Source organism: Homo sapiens, chromosome 9 (assembly GCF_000001405.40).
Source record: "Homo sapiens chromosome 9, GRCh38.p14 Primary Assembly".
Lineage (NCBI taxonomy): Eukaryota > Metazoa > Chordata > Mammalia > Primates > Hominidae > Homo > Homo sapiens.
Genome location: NC_000009.12, coordinates 116,313,285 through 116,335,706, shown reverse-complemented (window position 1 = coordinate 116,335,706; position 22,422 = coordinate 116,313,285). Strand labels below are relative to the sequence as shown.

Here is a 22,422-nt window from a genome sequence, read left to right as displayed (position 1 = left end):
GTATTCTTTTCAGGAAACTCCACTCGCTTGTAGCTCCAAACTAGGTGCATTAACAGATGGCACCTCAAAAGCACTGAGGGAGTGATGTCATGCAGTTGAAAGACAGGCTCTTAGACCACTCATGAGGTCACAGGAGCTAGGCTTGTGGAAGACATAGAGATTTCACCTATCCCTGAAACACACGGTGAACTAGGATGATGCAAATACCAGTCTCACTCTATCCCCCTTGGTTAGGAAGGTTATGCCTCCTGCTTGTGCCACGGGAAGCAGAATATTCCAGTATTTCAGAGATAAAAGAGAGCTAATCCTCTTTTTGTTCAGATGAGGACACTGAAGCTCAGAGAAGGAAACCGATGTTTCCAGGGTCAACCTGCAAGCTATTGTCAATTCTGCCGCTGCAAGCCAGGTGAATGAGGTTCTTTTTTCACCACACAACCGTTTCCCTTAATTGCCCCAGGAATTCAGAGACTCATGGGCCACAAGGCAGAGCCGGCCAGAGGCCAGAGGATGGATGGAGAAGGGAGAAATGCACAGACTTTTTACATCCACACAAATGGCTACCCAGCTTCAAAATCACACTGTCTCCACTCGGCTACAAGTGGCCTAGGGCGAGTCTGCCGCGGATCCCTTACCTCTGCTCGGCAGGGCTGTAGGTCTCCCCTCTCTGGCAGCTGCTCAGGGTGACGGGGTCAAAGTTGTCGAAGGAACGGAGGGCCACCCCCGAGATGGCGACCAGGGGCGAACTGAAGCTCACACGTACCGCCTGGCTGTGGTAGAAGGGCTGGCTGAGGTCATGGACCACAGGGATAATCAGGGGATTGTTCCTGCAGCTCAGGACATGGAGGCCTGTCAGGGGAGACAGAGGGGCCGAGGGGCCAGGCTCATTACTCAAGGCCAGTCACGCCCTCCCCAACGGGCCCTTCCCGAAGCCCCCAGACCCTTTCATGTCACTGCACAAAAGCACCATTGGGCGGCCGGTGAGGATTTTGAGTCTGATTGAAAGTTTCTTTGTCTGCCTTTTTTTCTTGGTTCCAAATCTTTCCAATCCCCCTGCCTCCCTGCCCCCTAAGCTTCCCCTTCACCTACTGCCCAAAGTCCCTCTCCCTCCCCCAAATGGCCACCCCTCAGCCAAGCATCCCAGGCCCTCACCTCCCTCCCACATTGCTGTAGGGCTTGTTGGTCTGAGTTGCTGAGTTTCAGGCTGCCTGCCTGGTCAGTTGGAAAAGTGATGGAAATAATTCATAGCAACAGGCGCTTCCCAGGGTAAAAAGCCCACTCTCATAAGTAATCTGTGAACCTGGGAGCAGCCCTGAGAGGGAAGGACTTCTTGCTTAGTCTGCAGAAGAGGTTGAGAATCGTGGGCAGGGGTGGTTTTCCAGAGAAGCACAGCCCAGGCATGGCTAAAACTCTAGGGAGAATTCAAGCTTGCCTCACTCAAGAGCCCTGTTTTTTTTTTTTTTTTTTTTTTAATGCAGCCAGCAGGTTCCCATTCTCCAAGAAGGAAGGGAGAGGGCCAGGGAGAAAAGATACACAAGGGACAGAAGGAAAGGAAGGCTGTGGCAAGATGGAATTAGCAAAACAGAAGTTGGCTTTGGTGTTGGGTGGACCTGAGTTTAAATGCTGGTGTAGCCCCTTCCTAATAATGGGACTCCAGAAAGCCCCTAAAACTCAGTTTTCACATCCAAAAAATGGTATAATCCTAACCATGTCCTGGCGGGCTTGCTATGTAAGGAGAAATCTCCCATGTGGAAGCCTGAAGCAGGTGCCCTTCTCAGTTCCAGAGGTGAAGCTGCCTCGGAGAATGCTGGGATGTCATAGACTGAGGAAGATGGTGATGGTGGGGGTGGAGGGGAAAAACAGAAAAGCCTCAGGCATCAGTACCAGGATCCAAAGAGCTCCTGTGGAACCAGACTTTTCCCCACTCTGCTGAAAAAACCTCTCCTCAGAGCCCTGGGCTGTGCAACGACAACTATGAAAATATTTGTTTCTCACTTAGGGAAATTTCCCAGGAATCCTGCTAAGTCCAGAGGGGTTTTCTTTCTCTTCCTTATTCATAGGTTCCCCTTGCCTTTAAAAGGAACTAAATAAACAAGCATAAAAACAAAACAAGAAAATCTTCCCTGCTCCCTTGGCTTTTATCTGACCCTGAAATGACCCCTTGCCTGGCTTGCTTCATACAGGTCTTTGAAAGGCGTTCTCTGCAGAATGGTGTGGGCACAACTTTGAAGTCCAGGCTTCAGTAGTGGCCAAAAATTCCAAATACTTGGAGTATCCAGGCTGCCCAGAGCTCTCCAGGGTAGACTGGAAGTGTGAAGGTGTCATAGGAAATTCTTAGCGACAATAGGAATTCTTAGGGCCCGATCTTGTGCTAGGCATGGTTACAACAGTGTCAAATAATAGTGCACTCTGACTCTAAGGTGGATATCATTGTCCTTGCTGTGTATGTGAAGCAAGTGAGCCTCTAAGTGATGTGCTGTGAGGACAGGAAGATTGCTCACCTTCTCAAGGTGAGTGAGTGGTGGGGACAGGATCCAAACCTCAGCTGTCAGCTCTGGATTCAGGCTCTCTCCTCTGGACCACGGTGCATGTGGGTATTCAAAGGGGTGGTACAAGTGGCCAAGTCCAGCCCTTGTCCTCCCCCTTGGCCCTGCACTCAGGGAGGTCCTCCCATGGTAGAACCTGACTCCTCAACTGCCTCCCTACTCCTACAATATTCCTATTCCTATTCTCATTGGAAACTTCTCCAGAGGTTGTACTGGTGATACAGTCCCCACTTGGGGTGGAGGGTCATGAACACTCCCGGTTATAGGGTAAAAAGCAATAGGCTATGACGCTGAAAATCTAACTAGTAATTCCTGACCTGCCATGTGACTTGGGGTCTCTCAGTGCCTCTCTTTGGGTCTCAGATGGTGACATGTACAACGGGGAAATGGCTCTTACTCAGTCTCTCTCCTTCTTGGGGTCTGTGGGGAATAATACAGGATGTCTGAGTTAAAGGTGGCTGGCAGAAGGGAGTGCTTGGCCATTGGCCCCTTATCCCTGTATCTGCCAGATCTTGATTTCTCTGGATACATAACCACATCTTGATTTGAGGGCAACCAGAATGCCAAATAGAAAAGAAGCAAGAAAGGGGAAAAAGGAAGGAAGAGCTCATTCTAAGCTGATCCTCACAACTAGTTATGGGGCAGAGGTGGAATCAGGTACTGAAAGCAAGCCAAGACCAAGAGAGCATGCTTACCTAGATCGTGGCTCTGATCTTTGGTATCAAGCAGCTGCACGCTGATGGTCTCCTGCTTTTGGTCCCCATAATATGTCCCATCCGTCACCAGGTGGACAATGACAGCTGCGGCAACCATTGGTTGAGAAAAATACGCCTGAAATTGTGAAGACGTAGGAGGGTCACATGTGCACTCAGTCATGTGGTGGGGAGGCAGCCACATTGGGGTGCATTTGAGGAGAAACTTCCTTTTTAAGAACTGGGCTACTACTCATCAGGGGTCCAAGATGGGAAGGAGGAGGCAATGAAACCTAACAGTGAAGAGCACAGGCTCTGAGATCAGAAACCCAATTTCAATCTTTCTCTGCTCATACTTAGCTGTGTGACATTGAGTGAATGGCTGGGCCACTCTGGGTCTAAGTTCCATTATTTCCAAATGGTGGATTAAAAAAAAATAAAAAAATCAACAGGTACATCATAGGATTGTTGTGAGGTTCTAGTAAGATAATGAGAGTAAAGTGTGTAGCAAAGGTCCCGGTCCACACTAAAACCCACACACACAAAAAAAGGTGCATACTGTTATCTTTCACTTCTCCATGTCAACCTCTGCACTCGGCTTTGAGGAGAGAAAGCTAAATAAGATATGGCCCTTGCATTTTTGGGAATTCAAAGTAGGTCAGTGACACACAAGCCAAAATGCAGTAATATCCACAATCCTTAGCCAGAAAGAAAGACCATAGACAGTTCTGTAATACCATGTGACAAGTACCATCCAACAAGCGACCAAACATGCAGGACAAGAAGGGAGATAATGGTCACTTCTTTTTCTGGTGATCAGTAAAAGGCTCAAGGAGGAAAAGATAATTTTAAAAGATCTTGAACAATGAATAGGAGGTTCCAGGCAGACAAGATGTATCCAAACTCTTTGCTAAAACAAGAGCTCAGTGGGGGCATTCCATGAGCAATTAGGATTCCATTTCAGGAAGCATCACACTGCTAAGTGTTTTGTTCCCTGTTCTTACAATTAACACCCTCAGCAGGTAGACAACCCATCTTCAGAAAGGGTCATGGGAGTCAGTGTTTTCTGTGGCTCGCTGCTGGAGATTCCAAAGCTCTCAGAGCTTCAGCTTACCCGGAGCCAAAAAGTGGTCTGAGCCAGCTGGGAATATGGGTAGCTGATGGTGCAAGGGTACCAGGCATGCTGGGAAATGCCTTCACTGAGATCTATCACCTTGGTTCGACACACCTGGAAAAATATAAAGAAAAAATAATCATGTTTTAGAGAGTGTCAGAAGTTCAACTAAATTCAATTTTACAAACCTTTACTGTTCACCTATTTTGCTCTTGGCACCACAGGAAAAAACAGGGATGAAAAGACCAGAATCTGGTCCAGGAGCTCACATTCTAATGTAGAAGAGGTAATCCTCAACACTTTTAAGGATATAATAGATAACATATTTTGATGGTAGAGATGACAGAGATATTCTCACGGAGACAAATCTTGGAGGAGTTGTTATTTGATTTGGGCCTGGAAGAGTAGGGCAGTGATAAGAGGAAGGGCATTGCAGGCAGAGGGAACAGAAGCAAGGCTCAGAGGAAAGCAGAAACCCAGAATGCTTAGGTTTGATCAAACGCCTTAAGTTGTGATCAAATGGTTACTACTGAGGCTGAGGGACAGTGGCAGAAAAGTGGGTTGAACAATTAGATCTCATAGAATCTTGAGTGTCAAGTAGAAGATTTTAGAACAAATCTGTAAATTGTGCTCCAAGTGATATTACAACAGAGAAAAGACTGAAAACATTAGTATTTGCTTTTCCATCAACAAAGAAAATCAGTTCCATCACTTTATACACACACACACACCCCTACACACACACGCACACACACACACACACAAATTCATTCTCAATGATAGTAAATACCAAACAGTATTAAAAGAAACAGGAAACATTTATAGACAAGCAGGATTCTTCAAACTTAGGGGTTTCTTGCATATTCAAATGTCACTTCGTTTACTGGTTCATTCATTCATTCAAATGATATTTATTGAGTAACTATTGCTTGTCAAACACTCTGGGACAAAATGATAAAAAAGACAGATGCTGAAGAGCTTAGAGCAGGCAATGTGTGCAGATATTAGTCAAGTAATTACAAATGTATATATAAATATAAACAGAAAACAGTGCAATGAGGGAAAGAGGATAGGAACAGCTGAGCTGTCCTTGAAATCGGTGAGGTCTTTGGTAGAAGGTCATCCCAAATTAGTACTTCTCCTCTGGTCTCTAATGTGGCTTCTCTCACAAAACTTCCCTGTGAATTTGGGCCTGTCATTTCATGTCTTGTCAGTGCATTCTACTCATCCGAAAAGTACGGCTGACCTGGAGAGCCCTGAGGATCTCATATGCTATTGAAAAAAAGTGATATATCCTCAACAAGATCAAACAAACATAAACACCTAAAACAAGCAAAAACAAAAGTAAAATGGAAAAGTATATACAAGGATTAAGAATATCCATTTCTACAATAAATATAGTAGGAAAAGATTGGAAATAGTCTATATGTTCTCCTGTTGGTGGAGAAATGTATAAAATATGAAATATTCACATGACAGAATTCTATTATGGCAAAGGAACAGTAAGAGAAATAAACTGGATTCATATACAAGGATGATATAAAAATAGTTTAACACTTGGCTCAGTATGGTCTCTAGCCAAATAAAAAGGAAGCCCTAATGGTAAGCTCATAGACATCAACATGGAGAGATCGCAAAACATAACATTGAGAGGAAAAAAGAAATAAGGTGCAAATGGATAAGTACATCATGACGTCATTTATAAAAATAACACAAAGCAAAACTATATATTGCCCAGCGATTCATGTGAATTAAAAATAGAGTAGAGAACTATACATCAAATTCAGGGTGGTAGTTGCCTCTGTGTATCAAGGAAAGGAAATGACACCGGGAGTCAGGAAAAAAAAGGACCTCAATCTTATTTGTGGTGTGTTATTTTTCTTACAGAAAGAGACATGAAGCAAATATGAAAAACTTGTATAGTTGTCAATTTCAGGTAGTGCATACACCTGTTATACATAGGTGGTTTTGGTTTACATCATCATATGTAATTTTATAAATTAAAAAAAATCCAAACTGTTAGCTTAGAAAGCCATTGAAAATAGATATAAAACCATCAACATCAGTTTTCCTAACAATGTGTTCAGTACAGTGGGCTCCAATGAACGGGACCAGGTCTGAATTTTCTATGACAGCCCATCCTTCTTACTCTTGGCACCATCTTGCTGAGAATCCCATCTATATTCTATGCTATATTCCATCCTGGGAATCCCATCTATAAATCTGTGCAAATTCAAATGTCTCTCTTTCCATTACTTCTTGCAATGGTTCTGGCTTCGAGGAGGTCTTGGAAAATGCCAGGTCTCAATTCTCTTTATAATAATGAGACACTAATCAAAGCACATGGTTGCATTATAATCTGCAGTTGCAAGCATTAATACTTTTATTTTTAAATAAAACTTTTGTTGAAGTAATTTCATATTTATAGTAAAGTTGCAAATACAATATGGATAATACAGATAACCAAAATGTGGTGTGCAATTTTGAACAAGTTGTCTTGTCTTTTGGCCCTTAGTTTACCTTGCACATCCGAATGTTGGGTTAGACAATAGGTTTTCACATGTCTTCCATGGATTCCTTGGATTCCATGAAGAAGTTGGCCAGGGGATCATGATGTAGAGAAGATCTACTTAGTTTCCACTCTACTATTTCAAACAGAGCATCTGCACTCACCTGTTGTATATATAAAGCTGCCTTATAATATTTCTTTTAAGAAAAGAGTTTCATTGCTTTAAAAGCATCAAAAAGTATTGAAATGTGTTAGCTGCCAAAGTTCCCCTCACCCTGGCCCTAGGAATTGATAGGTTCTGAAAGCACAATATTAATTCTCTGAATATCACTGGTAACTTCTTGAGAAGAAACATGCCATGAATCTCCTATCCCATTGCTGACAAATTAGGTGATGGCTTCAGTTATTCAAATCTCTAGAAGCCTCACACTGAGGAGGCTAAGGGTAGAACATAGCCACTTAAATGGGCTGGAAGACGTTTTTAAGTTTATTTATTTTTCTCAAAAACAACTGGGACCGGGTTTAGGCAGATCTGCCAGTGGATTGTGTTACACTTTACAACAGCGCAAGACTTTGCATAAACTATCTATGGAATTTGAAATCCAGGCCAGCAATTCGACATGTATCATTTTGGAATTCTTTCCCCTTGTGTTCTTAGCTGCCTGTCTCCCAGCAGAGCTTGGTGAAGCACATCTCTGAAGGCTGGATTGGGGGTCTTATCTCTGCATCTGAAGCATTCATAGCTACAGGATTCTCTGACATGAACAAAGCCCTCTTATTGCTTAAATACTATTTCCTCTTGTCAGTTCTATTAGCACTAGACAGGGTTTTAAAGGAATATACTGGTGTTATTTTATTCTTCTGTTTTCCTATTTTGTTTTGTGTTTGTTTCAAGTTGGCTGCAATCCTGACCAAGGACAGTCAAAGCAAATCAGAGAAGAATGAACAAATCCAGCTGAAACTTTGCCCAAAGCCCTAGTTGATCTGCAAAATAATCTATGTTCCTGGGGAACTGGAGGGAGGCTGGAGAGGAAGAGAGAGGCAAACCCTTACAAGCCTCCTGCTTTCATAGACATTGAGTGAATCTGCTCATTCAGCAGCCATTTACTGAGGGCATATGGCATGCCAGGCTTCAGAGAACTGCAAACAAAAGAGCCTTGCCCATGATACAAAGTTGGCCACTAAGGACACAAGTGTGATCCCCAAGGTGACTGATTTTATGGGGATGCTCTGTTTTCATCCGCCTGTGTTTTTTTTTTTCACCTTCCAAAAAGGCAAATCCAACTCCATAAAGCATTGCTGAGCAATGTTGACTTTACTGAATGTTTTGGGAGGAGACATGCAGGAGAGTTATATCACGCATTCTAGGGGCCTCTTTAGCTCTCCCTACCATCACCCCTAAGCTCTTCTTCGCTCATCATCTCCCCTCCTCCAGTTTCTTCAGTGACACTGGCTCCGGTGACATTCCCAATCTTAACCTTTTCCCCCTTCCCAATCTGCACATTTCTTATACCCCGTGCAGAGCCATACTGTTTTCCATCCTTCCAGTGATGCCAAGGTTCTTCCCAGCCTTCCAGCCCTAGAGATGTCAGGAAGTAACACAGTAACCCTTTTTCCCCTCTCTGTCATGCTGGTGTGAACAAGACCTGGTCCCTCCTTTCACATTGCTCCCTGTCTTGTGGAACACATCAAGAGTGCTCTAGAAACACAGGCAACCACTAGGCTTTGGGTTTCCCTAGGGAAATGGAAAAGGAGATAAGGAGAGATTCCATGGAGCTCAAACCTGTTTTTCTGTCCTGCCCAGTCCCATGTTTATTGCAGTATTATTCATGATAGCCAAGATGTAACAACCTACATGTCCATCAACAGAAGAATGGATAAAGAATATGTGATATATACACACAATGGAATATTACTTGACCTTAAAAAAGGAAATTCTGCAATCTGCAATAAGAGGAATGAACTTTGAGAACATTATGCTAAGTTAAATAAGCCAGACATGGAAAACAAATACTGCATTAGCTCACTTAATATGAAGTATCTAAAATAATCAAATTCATAGAACCAAAGACAAAATGAATGGTGGTTGCTAGGGGATGGGGAAGGGAAAAGTGATTAGTGACTAATCAATAGGCATAAGGTTTCAGTTAAGCAAGATGAATAAGTTCTAGGACTCTGCAGTAAAACATTATTCCTATAGTGAACAATACTGTACCATACACTTAAAAATTTGTTAAGAGGGTAGATCTCACGGTGTGCTCTTCCCACAATAAAAAATAAAGAATTATTACTTTGAATGACTAAAATGTTGACATTCAATGTTGATCCACTGGCCTGAATGTATTTGACTCTTTGAACCCCTGGTACAGATTTAATGGTGTCTACATTGGCAGAAAACCTTCTTACTTCTTTTCCCATCCTGGGCAATCTAGCAGGACCCTATAAGCAGCTTCCCCAGCCCTTATTCCAAGAAAATAGTTGGTCCCTGGGGTGGCTTCAGGTCACAGCTTTGTTGTCCTGGGACAACAATAAATAATTACATTTATTAATGTATAAATACATTAAATATTTTTTACATAAAATAATCAAGTGAAGGGAAAAATAAATTGATATAGTAGTCCTAGGCAAAGAGCAGGTGTGGTTGGGCTGACAAGCACCCTCACTTAGGTCCTCTCAGGTTGGAGGATGGATGACATAAGCCTCTTGATTACTTCATGGACATACAGCTCATTTCCATTTATAGAAAGCCTATGTACCATTGGACAGTCCTCTCCAACAGTCAGAGAGAGAGAGAGACTCCTGGATCCACTTTCTCCTACTGTTTCTTCTAAGTAGCAATGCCTATAAGCTTTCTTATTTTAAAGTTAGATGGGACTAGAATAGGTTATCTGCTGAGATCATTCCCCTTTGCAGTGGTCAAGGGAAGGGAGGTATCTTGCACGGCAATATACAGCCAATAAGGAGCAACACGTTTATGAAAAAGCAAATTTTTCTGTCTCCCAGAAATAGTGCACTTTTCTCACTTATGTTCTGTACCTTATTGATCCTATTTTTTGCTGTGTAGAACCATCTCCAGTGACATTTATATCTCTTCCCCCAAGAAATCATGGCAGAAATGACAGACGGCAATTCTAGTGCCCAACACCATTCTCTTCTCCAAGATACCCAGCCCTGTGTCTTTTATGGAAGCTGGGCAGATGACTGCTTCTCATCCTCATCCTAGCACCTGGAGGAATTGAAAGGCAAGTGACCCCTTGTCCACTTGGCCTTGGGGGCGGGGGGCACTCATTTTAGCAGAATCCCTTAGACTATCCATTATCTGCAGAGATATTCTGTGTTTCCTTCAAATACCGTCCATGGACAGTAGAAGACCTGGCTTAATTCCAGCTCTGTCACCAATTAACTGGACATTTCTCTGACTCTCCGATTCCCCCTCTGCAGTTGTACTGAATGGTTGCACGGAATGACCTTTAAGGGCCCCAGGAGCTTAAGGACACCCACAGTCATAATATCCACCAAGGGTTTCATAGTCACAATATCATTTAACCCTGATAGTCTGGGAGTTTAGAGCCACTGCATTTTCTCTGGTGAGAAAATGAGGCTCAGAGGCTTTGAAAAATCCTTTCAAGGTCCTAAATCCAGTTGTATATCACAACTAGGAGTTGACTGATCTCTAGAATTCCATGTTCTGCGTACTTAATTACAAAGCAACACAATTGCTACTTGGACTCAACTGAAACCTCCACTTCCTCTGGTGGAGAAAGGGCACCAACGACCAGTCTTTTTGCTTCTGGTCCCACCACATTCATTCATAAAAATGCTCCCCATAATTAACTTTCCAAAGGAGAAAAACTAACCATACCACCCTGCTACTTATCCACCCACCATGCTGCCCATGATCCACAGGATGGAACCTTCCCTTGACACAGCTTACAAAGGTTTTCAGGAGCTGGTTTCAGCAGCTTCCACCAATTTCACTGCTCTCTGTGCTCCCTTCCCTGGCATCTATACAGTGGTGCTTCCTTCATGCTGGACAACTCTTTCTCTCACATGTTGTGGACTCCCCCTCCATGATGCTGGAGCCCAGAACCCCCACGCCCACCACCGCTGCATTGCCCATTTTGTGAAATACTACACGCATTTCAAAGCCACTCTCAAATATCATCCCTCCTCTGAAAGCCTTTACTCACTCCCCAGGCAGAATTAATTGCTCTTTCTTATGTGTCCGTATAGTTCCTTATTTATACCTCAGTTACAGCACTTGTCAAGTTAGATTATAGTTGTATAGAGTCCAGCCTCATCTCTTTAAACTCTGAAGATTTCCAAGGTGAGAAGCATGTTTTATTTATCCTCAAATAAATCCCAGCAGATTTCCCAGCACACAGGAAATAATAGGGGCCCAGCAGGCAACAGCAGCAGTAGCAGCAGCAGCAACATGTATCGGGTGCCTATTCTATGCTGGGCACTGTTTTAAGGACTCTGTATGTACTAAATCATGCAGTGCTCACCATGACTCTGTGAGGTGGGTATTACAATGATATGCATTTTACAGATAACAAAATCGAGGCCCAGTAATTTACCTAGGGTCATACAACTAGTTAGCGGTAGAACCAAAATTGAAATCCAGGCACAAGTTTAGCCCACATTCTTAACCATAGATGTTAACTTCAAGAGAGCCTGCCCACATGTCTCTCAGGGCTGTGATGAGATTTTTAAATAAGAGAATAGATATATTTGTGCTAGCGGGGTCTTAATCCCAGCCACATGGAAGATGGACTTGGGACTTCTTGTTGTCTTTCCCTGGGGCTCCTGAAATAGAAGCTGCTTCAACAGACCAAAACAGGCCTTTTCAGGTCTGCCCCGGAGTGGAGTGATACAGTAGAAAGAGCCTGCAATTGCCAGGCAAGGGACCTGCCTCCTAGAACTGACTCAATTGCTCACTTTTTCTGACCTTCACTCTTCCTATTTATGGAAAGACAGAGTAAGATGAATTCATCTCCAAAGGGCTTTTCAGTCCTGACATTCTGCCAGCTTTTGATTTCCAGCTTCTCAGGTGAATGCTGCAGAAAAGAATGTTGACTCTAAAATTAAGTGTAAAACAAACAAAGAAACAAACAAAGCCACACTGTGCAGCAGGTGAACATCCTGTTGACTTCTGAGACTTATGGGTCCCTTTCTCTGAAGCTGAAGGCTAATTTCCAAGACACCTTTTTGGGCAAAGACAATCAGAACAGTAACATAAAAGTTTACTGCAGCCTTTCTAGCAATGTGTTTTTTTTCTCTCTCTCTCTCTCTTTCTTTCTTTTTGTGTCTGCAATTGGAAGCTGCAAAATAGCTGGGGAAATCCTTTGTCCAGAGCTTTGGGATCACTGGATATCTGAGCTGGGAGGGTCCTCAGAAATTCTTACTCCAATTCTCACATTTGATGGATGGAGAAACATAGCCCGGTGGAGGGAGAAGAGACCGGCTTGAACATATACAGTAAGCTCCTCTGTGACGGGCCAGGATGTCTGGTGGTGACTAGGCGTTCCAGGTCTGCAGAAACAGAGGACTCTGTGGCTCCAGGACCCAGAGACTCTTGTCCACTCAGTGCACTGCCAGCCGCTACATCCAGCACCCGCCTCCAAATCCCCCTCCTTTGCAGAAGACTGCTTTCAATTAGAGGAGTTAACGATGTCTTGCTTTCAAAGGGTTTTTTTAAATCCAGTTTATCTTCCACCCACACACGATGTACACAAAGGCAGGGAGACGGAGGGAGAAGAGGGGGAGCGGGGGCTCTGGTATTTTCCCACACAGGGGACATGCCATGAGGTTTCCATTGAATTTCGATTTTACAGATTTACATGCCCTTTTGTCAATCATGGGAGGGAGGAAGTGCTCATCAAGCCTCTAGTCCAACCTCTCCAATTTCCTTTTTCCACCCAAAGGGACCTGCGAATGAGCCTTATAGAAGAAAATAGGAAAAGGAATGGGGAGGAGGAGTGCGGGGATGGATACTGACACTAACAGTACCCATAAATGTACAAGTGTGCAACACACACAAACACAGACACACACACACACACACACAGCCAGCCAGTGTTTCTCAATATTTCTCCTTAGGCCACATTTTAACCTCAGGCTTGCAGTTCCAATGCCAGGTTATTTCCCAAGAATTGCAAGGGTGCAAGAAGGACAGAAGTTGGTTTCCTGATATAAACCTCCAAGATTCTTAAGGGTCCTGAGGACTACAGGAGGGAAAGCCTGCTGGGAGACAGCCTATAAGACTACAGCTGTAAAGGGCCTCAGGGAACCTGGACACAGAATGGCCCAGGTGAAATAAAACCTCCTCCATAAACCAGGCTTTGCTGTTTTTATCAGATGATGTTCTCCCTCCTCAGTGCTTTCCTGGGAGAGTGAGAGAGGGCACCAGCTCTTTTTTTTTTTTTTTTTTTTTTTGAGACTAAGTCTTCCTATTGTACCCCAGGCTGGAATGCGATGGCACGATCTCAGCTCACTGCAACCTCTGCCTACCAGGTTCAAGCGGTTCTCCTGCCTCCACCCCCCGAGTAGCTGGGATTACAGGCTCCTGCCACCACACCCAGCTAATTTTTGTATTTTTAGTAGAGATGGGGTTTTTACCATGTTGGCCAGGCGTCAGGTGATCCACCTGCCTTGGCCTACCAAAGTGCTAGGATTACAGGCGTGAGTCACCGCGCCTGGCCAGCACCAACTCTTAAAGATGGTCTGCCCAGTATGGGTGCTGCCTGTGTATTATCTCATTTTACCTTCCTAATAATCTTGTGAAATAAGCATCTTTATCCCCAATTGAGATATAAGGACTCTGAGGTTTGGGTAGGCATTGATCAGCCTGCCACGGCTTAGCAGTCAAACTCATGCTCGTCTGACGCAAAGTCTGTTCTCTTCTTACTCCATGGCTTGACCTCCCAATAACTCTTGGTCCATACCCTTGAGGTAATACACTTGCATTATGGTTTCTTGTTTGTCCATCTGAATCTCCATGTATGAGCTTCAAAGACAGTGCCTATGCCTGACTTCTCTTTCCTTTTCATCAGTGTCTAATGCAGGTTACTGGGCAGGGCTCACCAAATGTCCCCTATGTTAAACTAATATGGCTTTCCCAAGGCTTTATAAGATTGGTGACGCATTAGATCTAGAAATCAAAGTCTATAGGGCCTAGACCAATGTTTAGAGATAATAATAACCATGTAGTGCAGGAAAGGGACCAGGAGAACCAGGACTCATTCCCACGTGACATCAGTGCTACCATTCTCTCATCCATTGCACAGGACAGGCACCATTAATTACATAGTGCATCCCTGAAGGTAGGCCTCTAAATCCTTCTCAACAAAACACTATGGGGAGTCACTCTAATTGCTCAGAACTGGCCTAGAAGATGAATCCTATTTGCAATTCTTGAACTTGGTCATTAGCTCACTGAGGGGAAGAATGAGCTCTTGTCTTTTCTATCTTCAGTATTAAGAGCAGAGGAAGGTCCAGCTTAGATGCTAAGCGAATGTATGGCCAGGCGCGGTGGCTCACGCCTGTAATCCCAGCACTTTGGGAGGCTGAGGCGGGCGGATCACGAGGTCAGGAGATCGAGACCATCTTGGCTAACACGGTGAAACCCTGTCTCTACTAAAAATACAAAAAATTAGCTGGGTGCGGTGGTGGGCGCCTGTAGTCCCAGCTACTCGGGAGGCTGAGGCAGGAAAATGGAGTGAATCCAGGAGGTGGAGCCTGCAGTGAGCCGAGATAGCACTACTGCAGTCCGGCCTGGGTGAAAGAGTGAGACTCCGTCTCAAAAAAAAAAAAAAATGTATAACAACAATACCACTTTACATGTCTCATCTCAGTTAATGCATATAATGAACAAACACAACTCAAATCTTCCAACTTCAGGTTCAGGGCCTCTCCCACTACCTGCGGAGCACTATAGACCTCTCCTACCTGAGATCTTCTCTTCATTCCTACTTCTATCCCTGCTTCCCTCTTATGCCTCTAATTCCAAACTGACCAATGAACACAGAAAACTTTAAGGGAAGCCGAGGGTTAACAGATACACAACACAACACAACACACAGGCACACACACACATACACATACACACACACTTCCTTTTTACACACTTAATAGCAATGGCAGAAAAAAGAGAGGGGGGAGCCAGGCTTTCTTTTACCAACCATTAGAAACAATTATCACTTTCCCCAGGCCTCCAGAGCAGCTTTCCCCTTTGATGCCTGCCTTAAAGAGATAGAGGGGAAAGGGAGGGGTGGTTTGCGTTTCTTTCAATATGAGCATTTATTATTCGGCATAGACAGACAATCAAGGAAAGAAGCATTTCCTGTGTGCAGGGCCAGAGTGTGAAACAGAGAGATGGCTTCTTCTTCCCTCCCAGAGTTCTAGAAATAGCAGCAGATCTCAGAGCCTCTACCCAGGAGACACTTTCTGATAAGATAACTTGGCATTGGATGCCCTCCAGCCTTGGGGCTCAGCTCTGGGCTGATTAGCACCTCGTTGCTCCAGGGATCTGTCCCTAACACATTAGGCATTTCACACTCCTTAGGGGTCTCATACCCTTCAGGCTGGCACCTCCCCACAAGTCTGAAATCCTGGGATTTAGGGTGCAAACCCCTGGCCAGACCAAATGATCATGGAGGAAAAGCCAGGCTTTCAATGGAAAGGGAATATAGAAATCATATAAGACGTATTGCCCTACAGCATACTAACATTTTTACAGATAGGGAAACTAAGTTTCTTAGAAATGATATGGTTCAGAATCATAGAATTGATTCTTAGAGACTACTCATTAAATTCCTCAATTTCATACACACAGGTTCAGGATTTCTGGGGGACAACAGATAGATGTCTCAACCTTCTTCTAAGGGAAAAGCTTATGTTAGAGGCCTAAGACACCATTCATGAAAGTGGTAAAGCTAACATGTTTTCTTTGCCATCATTTACTGTCCAGCACCTATGTTCCAAACATAGATTCCCCACATTCCCGGGAAGCCAGTATTACTATCCTCCTTCTTGTTTGTCCTACAGATAAACAGCCTGGGCTCAGAGGTAATAAATAAGGTGCCAAGGCCACACCTGTTCGGAGTGGATGTTGAAGTCTGTGTTACTTCAGTTCTATCTCCTATTCCCAGTCCATTCTGCAGATGAGAAAACTGAGACCCACACAGTGTACATGCTGATCTTAATGAGAATGATGACAATAACGGTGAGGATGATAAATATCCAAATGCTTCCACCTCCATGGACACCATCCTTATGTCACTGTGATGGGGAGATTCATCACCCACCCCACCCCCTTTTTCAAATGGAGAAAGAAAATTCACAATAGCAGTGGAAGTACTGATTAATATAATGACACTAGTCACTCATTTATATTGCATGAAATGTTAGTTCTCACACCTCTACCCCATGGGGTTGGCATCAGCTCCCCGTTCTGCAGACAGTACAGCCAGGCATTGGGCCGAGTCCCTTCCCAGATGCCCGTTTTGAGGAGGAGATGGGCAGGGGGCTTGAGCTCCTCCAGCTAGTAAATCCTCTAACAAGGGAGAGTGATTAGTGTCGGATGTGGCGGCCGCCTTTTGTGCTGCTGACAACTGCTGCCATTAAAGGCCTGGCTGGGCTCATTTCACACGGGCCCTCCGCAGGCCTGCTCCCTGTCTCCCTAATTATGCCATTCACTAGTCGCCCAGGCCCGCCTATGAACTCCTGACCCAGCAGTGAAAGACTTGGGATCTCATTACTAATCTCTTAAGCCACCTAGTCCTCCAAAATACATCCATTTAAGTTGGAGGCCAAGGCTTTGGGGTGGGAGGCGGGGAGAGGGAAAGTCTGGCACAGAGACTTCTCATGACATGGCCATTTCCCCTTTCGGGAGACTGTGGCCTGAGCCACAGGGCAGCTGGCATGACTGTCCGGCTCAGCCCAGGGCAGGCCCTGCTGAGGGTCGGCGGCTGGGCCTCAAGAATAGGAGGCCCTTGGATGGGAAGGGGGAGGACATCTGGGCCCACCTGTTTGTAATTTCAGGGGTGCGGGTGGGGGATGAGGCCTGTGTTTGTTTTAATTATTATTATTGTTGTTGAAAAGGGAGGAAAAAAATGAGCAGAAACTGCTAACATCTGGAGGCTGCTGTCCAGTTTACGTAATCTCTTGCTGCAGAGGAGGAACACGGGATCCCCAGCCAGATGGTCCGTGGGTGACTTCACAGCACATGTGCTACCTCCAAGAGTAAGATGCTGACGGGGTTAAAAGAGTGGGATGCAAAACCTTCCTTGTATTCTTACAGGGTGAGAGGCAGTGGTTTGGGTGCTCCCAGGGATCTGTTTTCTTTTGAAAGCATCTTTTTTTTTTCTGTCCAGCCTAGGATCAAATGTTTCTATGTCTCTCTCATTCTGTCATTCATTCATTCAACATTTATTTAGCACTTATTTATGTGTTAGGTTCTTCATTCCCATGGTCCACATGAAGAAAATGGACCCCAAAGGAACAAAAGCAACAAAGATAAAAATTCCTTCTCCTCCCATGGGGGTGGGAGGTGAAGAACGAAGCAAGCAAACACTCATAGAGAAATGTGGTAGGTTCTGTGTTCAAGCTCTCTGAAGGCTGAGGGAGGGGCTTGGAGAAGGGAGTTGCTGAGGCAATCTATATCTGAAGGCCAGGTCTGAAAGGCAAGATCTTAATATCAAATGGGCTCTGGAGAGCAGGAACTGGAGGAAAAAAAATGGCCAGAGGAGAAAAACTCGGCCACAGCTAAGCCATGACAAACCCAGTTTCCCAAATGATGTCAACAGCGGAGGCGTGAAGGATAAGTTTGAGATGCTGAATATTGTTGCAAACACAGTTCTGAGCACGTTATTTAAAAAAATACATTGCTAACTTTCTGTAGTTTAAACTTTATTTTTGCATTTGTACTGAAAGAAATTAATGAAATGTCATGAATTCTAGATCAGAATATAAAACCAGTGTAGACTCTGGATCAGATCAAGAGAGCACTGTTAACTTCAGTCAGGATGAACACTCAACTCTAGACAGGAGCACAGAGCTATTGCCAGCAGTAGAAAATTCTGAGGCATTTCCAGCTCCAGATAAGAATCCTGAAAAATCATGAATTTTATTTCAGGGCCCGAGGCATTGTCAGTTCTAGAGCAGTATGTTGAGCACTGAAACACTTCTAAGTTCTGGACCAGAATACGAAAACACCATAATCCTAAAACAGGGCTGGGTAATGCCTTCTGCTCTATAGCCCCAAACCTGAAACTGACTGAGATTTAGACACTGAAGATAAAAAACAAAAATCTACTTAGCTTTAATCCAAATGCTTTCTCTGCTGGCTCTAGAGTGAAATTCAGAAACACAGACAACCCTGGAGTAAGGCACTAAAATATGGACATCTCCATCACTCAGCTCAGAGCTATTAAGACTAAAGGGGGATGTCTTAGGAAGCTTCTACACCTCTCTTTGTCCTTTGATTTTAAATCAAAGTCCCTGGGCATTCATGGGTTAATCAGGAAAGTGATGATCACATCCAAGTTCGGTGCCTGGTCACCGAAACCCTTGGTTATGAATAGTTGAACAGTGGTTAATGGCAGTCTTGACCGCATCGGCCTATTCAAGAAAGGTCAGAGGAATGATTTTTTACTTAAAAACATCTGTCTTGAAAGAACAAGACTTTCTCAAGTTCATAAAACTAGAAGTTTCCAGGTTGTTGTTTTTGTTTCCTCCCCTCTTCCCCCTTTCTCCTGTTATTCAGCTTTCCAAATTAAGATCTGTGTGTTCCAGATTGTGTTGAAATTGAAGTACAAGTCACATTACCTGCAGGGAACCCCACTAGATGCCAAGATGATCATGCAGAGTGCATTGTCTCTGAGTCCTGCTTCTCACTGCAGACCTCAGGGTCCTCCCATCCCCTCCTATAGCCTCAATGAGTAAGGGCTGGGAATCACTACATGATTCGCTCTCTTCCTTTTGCTTTTGAAGAGGAGGCAGTACTCTTGTCTAGGTTGCCTCGAGCTTGATTTTTCCTAGGAAGAGTCTCCAAAGGATGCAATGCAGTGATGTATGAAAGGAACAGGTGGACAGCAGTCACTTATGTTTTTAACAGCATCCTGCAGACCTTCCAACTCAAACAAGAACTCCCATTTTTAAAGACAAAAGTGGTATTTCTCCCTGGCCTGCCCCTCCAGGCTTCAGAGGTAGAAACAGTGACTGTGATGTACAAACCGGGGAGCTTTGTCCACCACAGGTGCAATGGACACTGTTGACTTATATGTCCACCACTCTATCAGCAGGGTTCTCTGAGGAACAAGGACCTTCCAGAGTGATGCTTTTCCCTAGTGGCAGCCTTGGCCAGGGCAACAGACATCTGCACAAACGCAGGGTGTTGAAGCAGCTGTTCTGAGATGCAGTGCCTGAGAATCTGGGATCCACAATGTGAACTTCTCAACAACCCCTGCACCTGCCACTTCCCTGAATCTTCCACTAAGCACCAGAAGACACATGCATTTTAAATCAAAGGAATGTGAGTTGGAATTTCAGCTTCTGCCATTCACTGACAACATGGCCTTGAACCCTTCATAAACTCTAATATCTTCCACTGCAGAATGAGATGATGGTACCTATGTTGTAGCATTGTGAGGATTCAAAGAGCTCTTGCACATGCAAATATTTAGATACACCCTACTCACTAAAAATACAAAATTGACATTTTCCTCCATCACTTGCTGCTTCTTTCTTCCTGGCTGTAGAGGGACATGGTTCTGGTTTCAAATTCTAGACTTCCCTGTTCTACCACTGGGCTACCTGTAGAACTTGGGTAAGTGACCTAACCTTTGTGAGTCTTAATTACAGTAGTTACCTCATACAGTGGTTGACAGGTTTAAATGTACAAAAAACAGTGTAGAGTTCTCTACATAATGTAATCACTCTGACAGCCAAGCCATTCTCTTTACTCTACTCATCATTATCAATTTCTGTGATTACTATTACATTATGGTTATTACTGGTATTTGTTGTTATTGTGTAGTCCTTCCTTTTTCTCTGTCTCTTCATTCTATATTCCTTCTTTCCTTTTACCTCTACCTCTTCTTCCTCCCATCTTTCTTCCTCTTACTCCTTCACACCCTCCTGTGCTGGGCCTTGTATTGGGAGATCTCTCTGAAGGTGAACCACATTCTCAAGTCAGAAAGGAAGACCCTTAGATTTCCATCCATCTCTGTAGGAAGCCAATCACAGGAAAATTGCTTAGACCCCAATCTTTCCTGCAAAAACAAGAAGCAAAGGGTAGAGCTTCCTTCCTGGCGCTCAGCCTCCAGAAGCTGTTTCCTACTTTTTGCCCAAAGCTGTTAGCAGAGAAAAAAACATTTATTTATCAGTATTTATCATGAAATTCTATATGCCAGGCCCTGTTCTTGATGCTGGAACACACAGGAGTAAGCACACAAAAACAGTTACCAAACAACCCTTCTCACTGTGCAGTGAACATTCCGGGGGTGAGGATAGATTATGGAGGCACAGAGTAGCAGAAAGAACATGAGGTCTGGGTTCAGGATGGGTTTTCGGGACCTCTTCCTCCCCCAATTCACACAGTAGCACTTATCTCCTTTGTAATGTGAAGGGATGAAACAGGGGATTTCAGAAGGCCCTGCCTGCTTTGATCACCTATGGTATTAACAGGAGGCTGTAATCCGGAAACATAAGGGAATCACTTGTAGACACCGATTTATAAATTTAATCCAATCATAAAAGAGGTAACACCCAGCAGCTATTGTTCCCAACAACATCATTTAATGAGTCCATTTTCTGAGTATTGTCCACACAGCAGGTCCTGTGCTGGGCACAGGAAATACCTAAAGGCATAAGATGAGGGCCAAATCGTTAGCTGCTAACCGGTCATTTGGTATGAAAAGCTGTGGACACAAGCAATGCACACTGAAAGTCAGCTTGTGCTCAAGCCTGTCTGATAATTCCAGAAGTATTCTGTACATGGAAGAGGGAGGCTGCTCATGGGCTGAGGTTGTCAGGGGAGGGATATGGAAGAGGAGCCACTTGAGCTAAACCCTGTAGGATAATTAAGCCCTAAGAAGGTTGAGGAGCAAATGATGGTGTTTCCAGGCAGGAGAAAAGGAAACCCCAAGATATATCTGGAAATTGCAAGTTGGTCCATACTGCCTGGAACGTGCCCCTTAGGCAATAGTCTGTAAAGCAAAGGTAGAGATTGTGCATGGCCTTGTCTGCTAAGACTTTTGGAGTTTATAGGCCATGGGGAACAAAATAGAGAGCTTCACAGGTGAGAAATCACTGAGACCAATATTTCTTGTGAATACGGAGAATATGATCCAAAAGCAAAAGTCCTCCAGTGAGAATTTATGCAGACTTAAAAAATTTAAGACATTGAGTTACAAAAAGATTAGTATGTCATATCTCACTCTGGGAAAGAGAAATGTCATTTTAAAAATCTCTGGAGAGACCGGGTGTGGTGGCTCACACCTGTAATCCCAGCACTTTGGGAGGCTGAGGCAGGTGGATCACGAGATCAGGAGATCGAGACCATCCTGGCCAACATGGTGAAACCCTGTCTCTACTAAAAATACAAAAATTAGTTGGATGTGGTGGTGTGTGCCTGTAGTCCCAGCTACTTGGGAGGTTGAGGCAGGACGCTTGAAAAACCTGGGAGGTGGAGGCTGCAGTGAGCCAAGATTGCACCACTATACTCCAGCCTGGCGAAAGAGTGAGACTCCATCTCAAAAAAAAAAAAAAAAAAAAAAAAAAAAAAGATTCGATGCAATGACAGAACTGAATGAATTTAGGTAGTACTTACTCTATTCCAAGCACTGTCCTAAGTGCTTTAAGCGTGCTATCCCATGGAATTCTCACCATCTCCCCTTAATTATTTAATTTTACAGATGAGAGGACTAAGGCACAGAGAGGCTAATTAAGTTGCTCGAGATCTCAATGCAAGTAGCAGCCCTGGCATGTGAAGTACTCTAGACCTGCTCTGTCCAGTAGGGGAACCCAATGCCCACAAATAGGCTATTTAAATTTAACGAATTAAAATTAAACCAATTAGTTCCTCAGTTTCATGAACCACATTCCTAGGGCTTAATATCATAGGTGGCTAGAGGCTACTGAACAGGACATTCATATGTAGAACATTTTCATCATCATGGAAGTTTCTACTGGACAGATAGTCTGGAGCCTGGCCTGTGAACACTGATACAATTTTGCTCTCTCTGAAACATAAACCCCTGACCGTAGCTCCCTGGTGCATGTCAGTTTATCTCCTCCTTCCCGTTGCTTTAAATTGATATTCTCTTCCTGGACCCCTTGCCACCAGTCAGTTGCACTGCAGACATGGGCATTACCCAGGTGGCATCTGCATCTCTGAAAGCAGTATCTTGCCAGTAGACCAGATCTCTCCCAAACCTGTGACTTCCCCAGGGGCCTCTCTTCCAGGAAGGAGAGAAATGTAGACATCACCGAAGTGTCCCCTTTCACCACCTGCACATATGAGTCATGTTTGGAAAAGGATTCTGGGGTGGGCAGGAGCCC

The 22,422-nt window shown here is 44.2% G+C and overlaps 1 protein-coding gene and 1 long non-coding RNA gene across 4 annotated transcripts in view, besides 1 other annotated feature; one reads left to right on the top strand and one right to left on the bottom strand.

Annotated features, from left to right (window-relative positions):
- PAPPA (pappalysin 1) overlaps positions 1–22,422 on the bottom strand; it is a 248,531-nt gene that overhangs the window by 66,615 nt on the left and 159,494 nt on the right. For 2 of the 3 annotated variants that reach the window (NM_002581.5, XM_006717129.4), the window contains 3 exons: positions 4,350–4,463; positions 3,239–3,374; positions 633–846 (listed from right to left, as the gene is read on the bottom strand). In NM_002581.5, the coding sequence (NP_002572.2) occupies positions 633–846; positions 3,239–3,374; positions 4,350–4,463 (464 nt within the window). The remainder of the gene's footprint in view (positions 1–632; positions 847–3,238; positions 3,375–4,349; positions 4,464–22,422) is intronic. The other variant, XM_017014784.3, reaches the window with a different exon arrangement.
- The window catches only part of PAPPA-AS2 (PAPPA antisense RNA 2), a 77,849-nt gene that overhangs the window by 27,970 nt on the left and 27,457 nt on the right, over positions 1–22,422 (top strand). Inside the window, exons 2-4 of the long non-coding RNA NR_170222.1 lie at positions 15,907–16,084; positions 16,963–17,103; positions 17,316–17,449. This is a non-coding gene — a long non-coding RNA (PAPPA antisense RNA 2). The remainder of the gene's footprint in view (positions 1–15,906; positions 16,085–16,962; positions 17,104–17,315; positions 17,450–22,422) is intronic.
- Positions 3,920–4,512: an enhancer, noted in NCBI's record as "OCT4-NANOG hESC enhancer chr9:119093474-119094066 (GRCh37/hg19 assembly coordinates)". NCBI's record gives its function as "activates a minimal SCP1, AML or CMV promoter by ChIP-STARR-seq in naive H9 embryonic stem cells {active_cell/tissue: H9 hESC(naive)}" and the evidence as "EXISTENCE:reporter gene assay evidence [ECO:0000049][PMID:30033119]".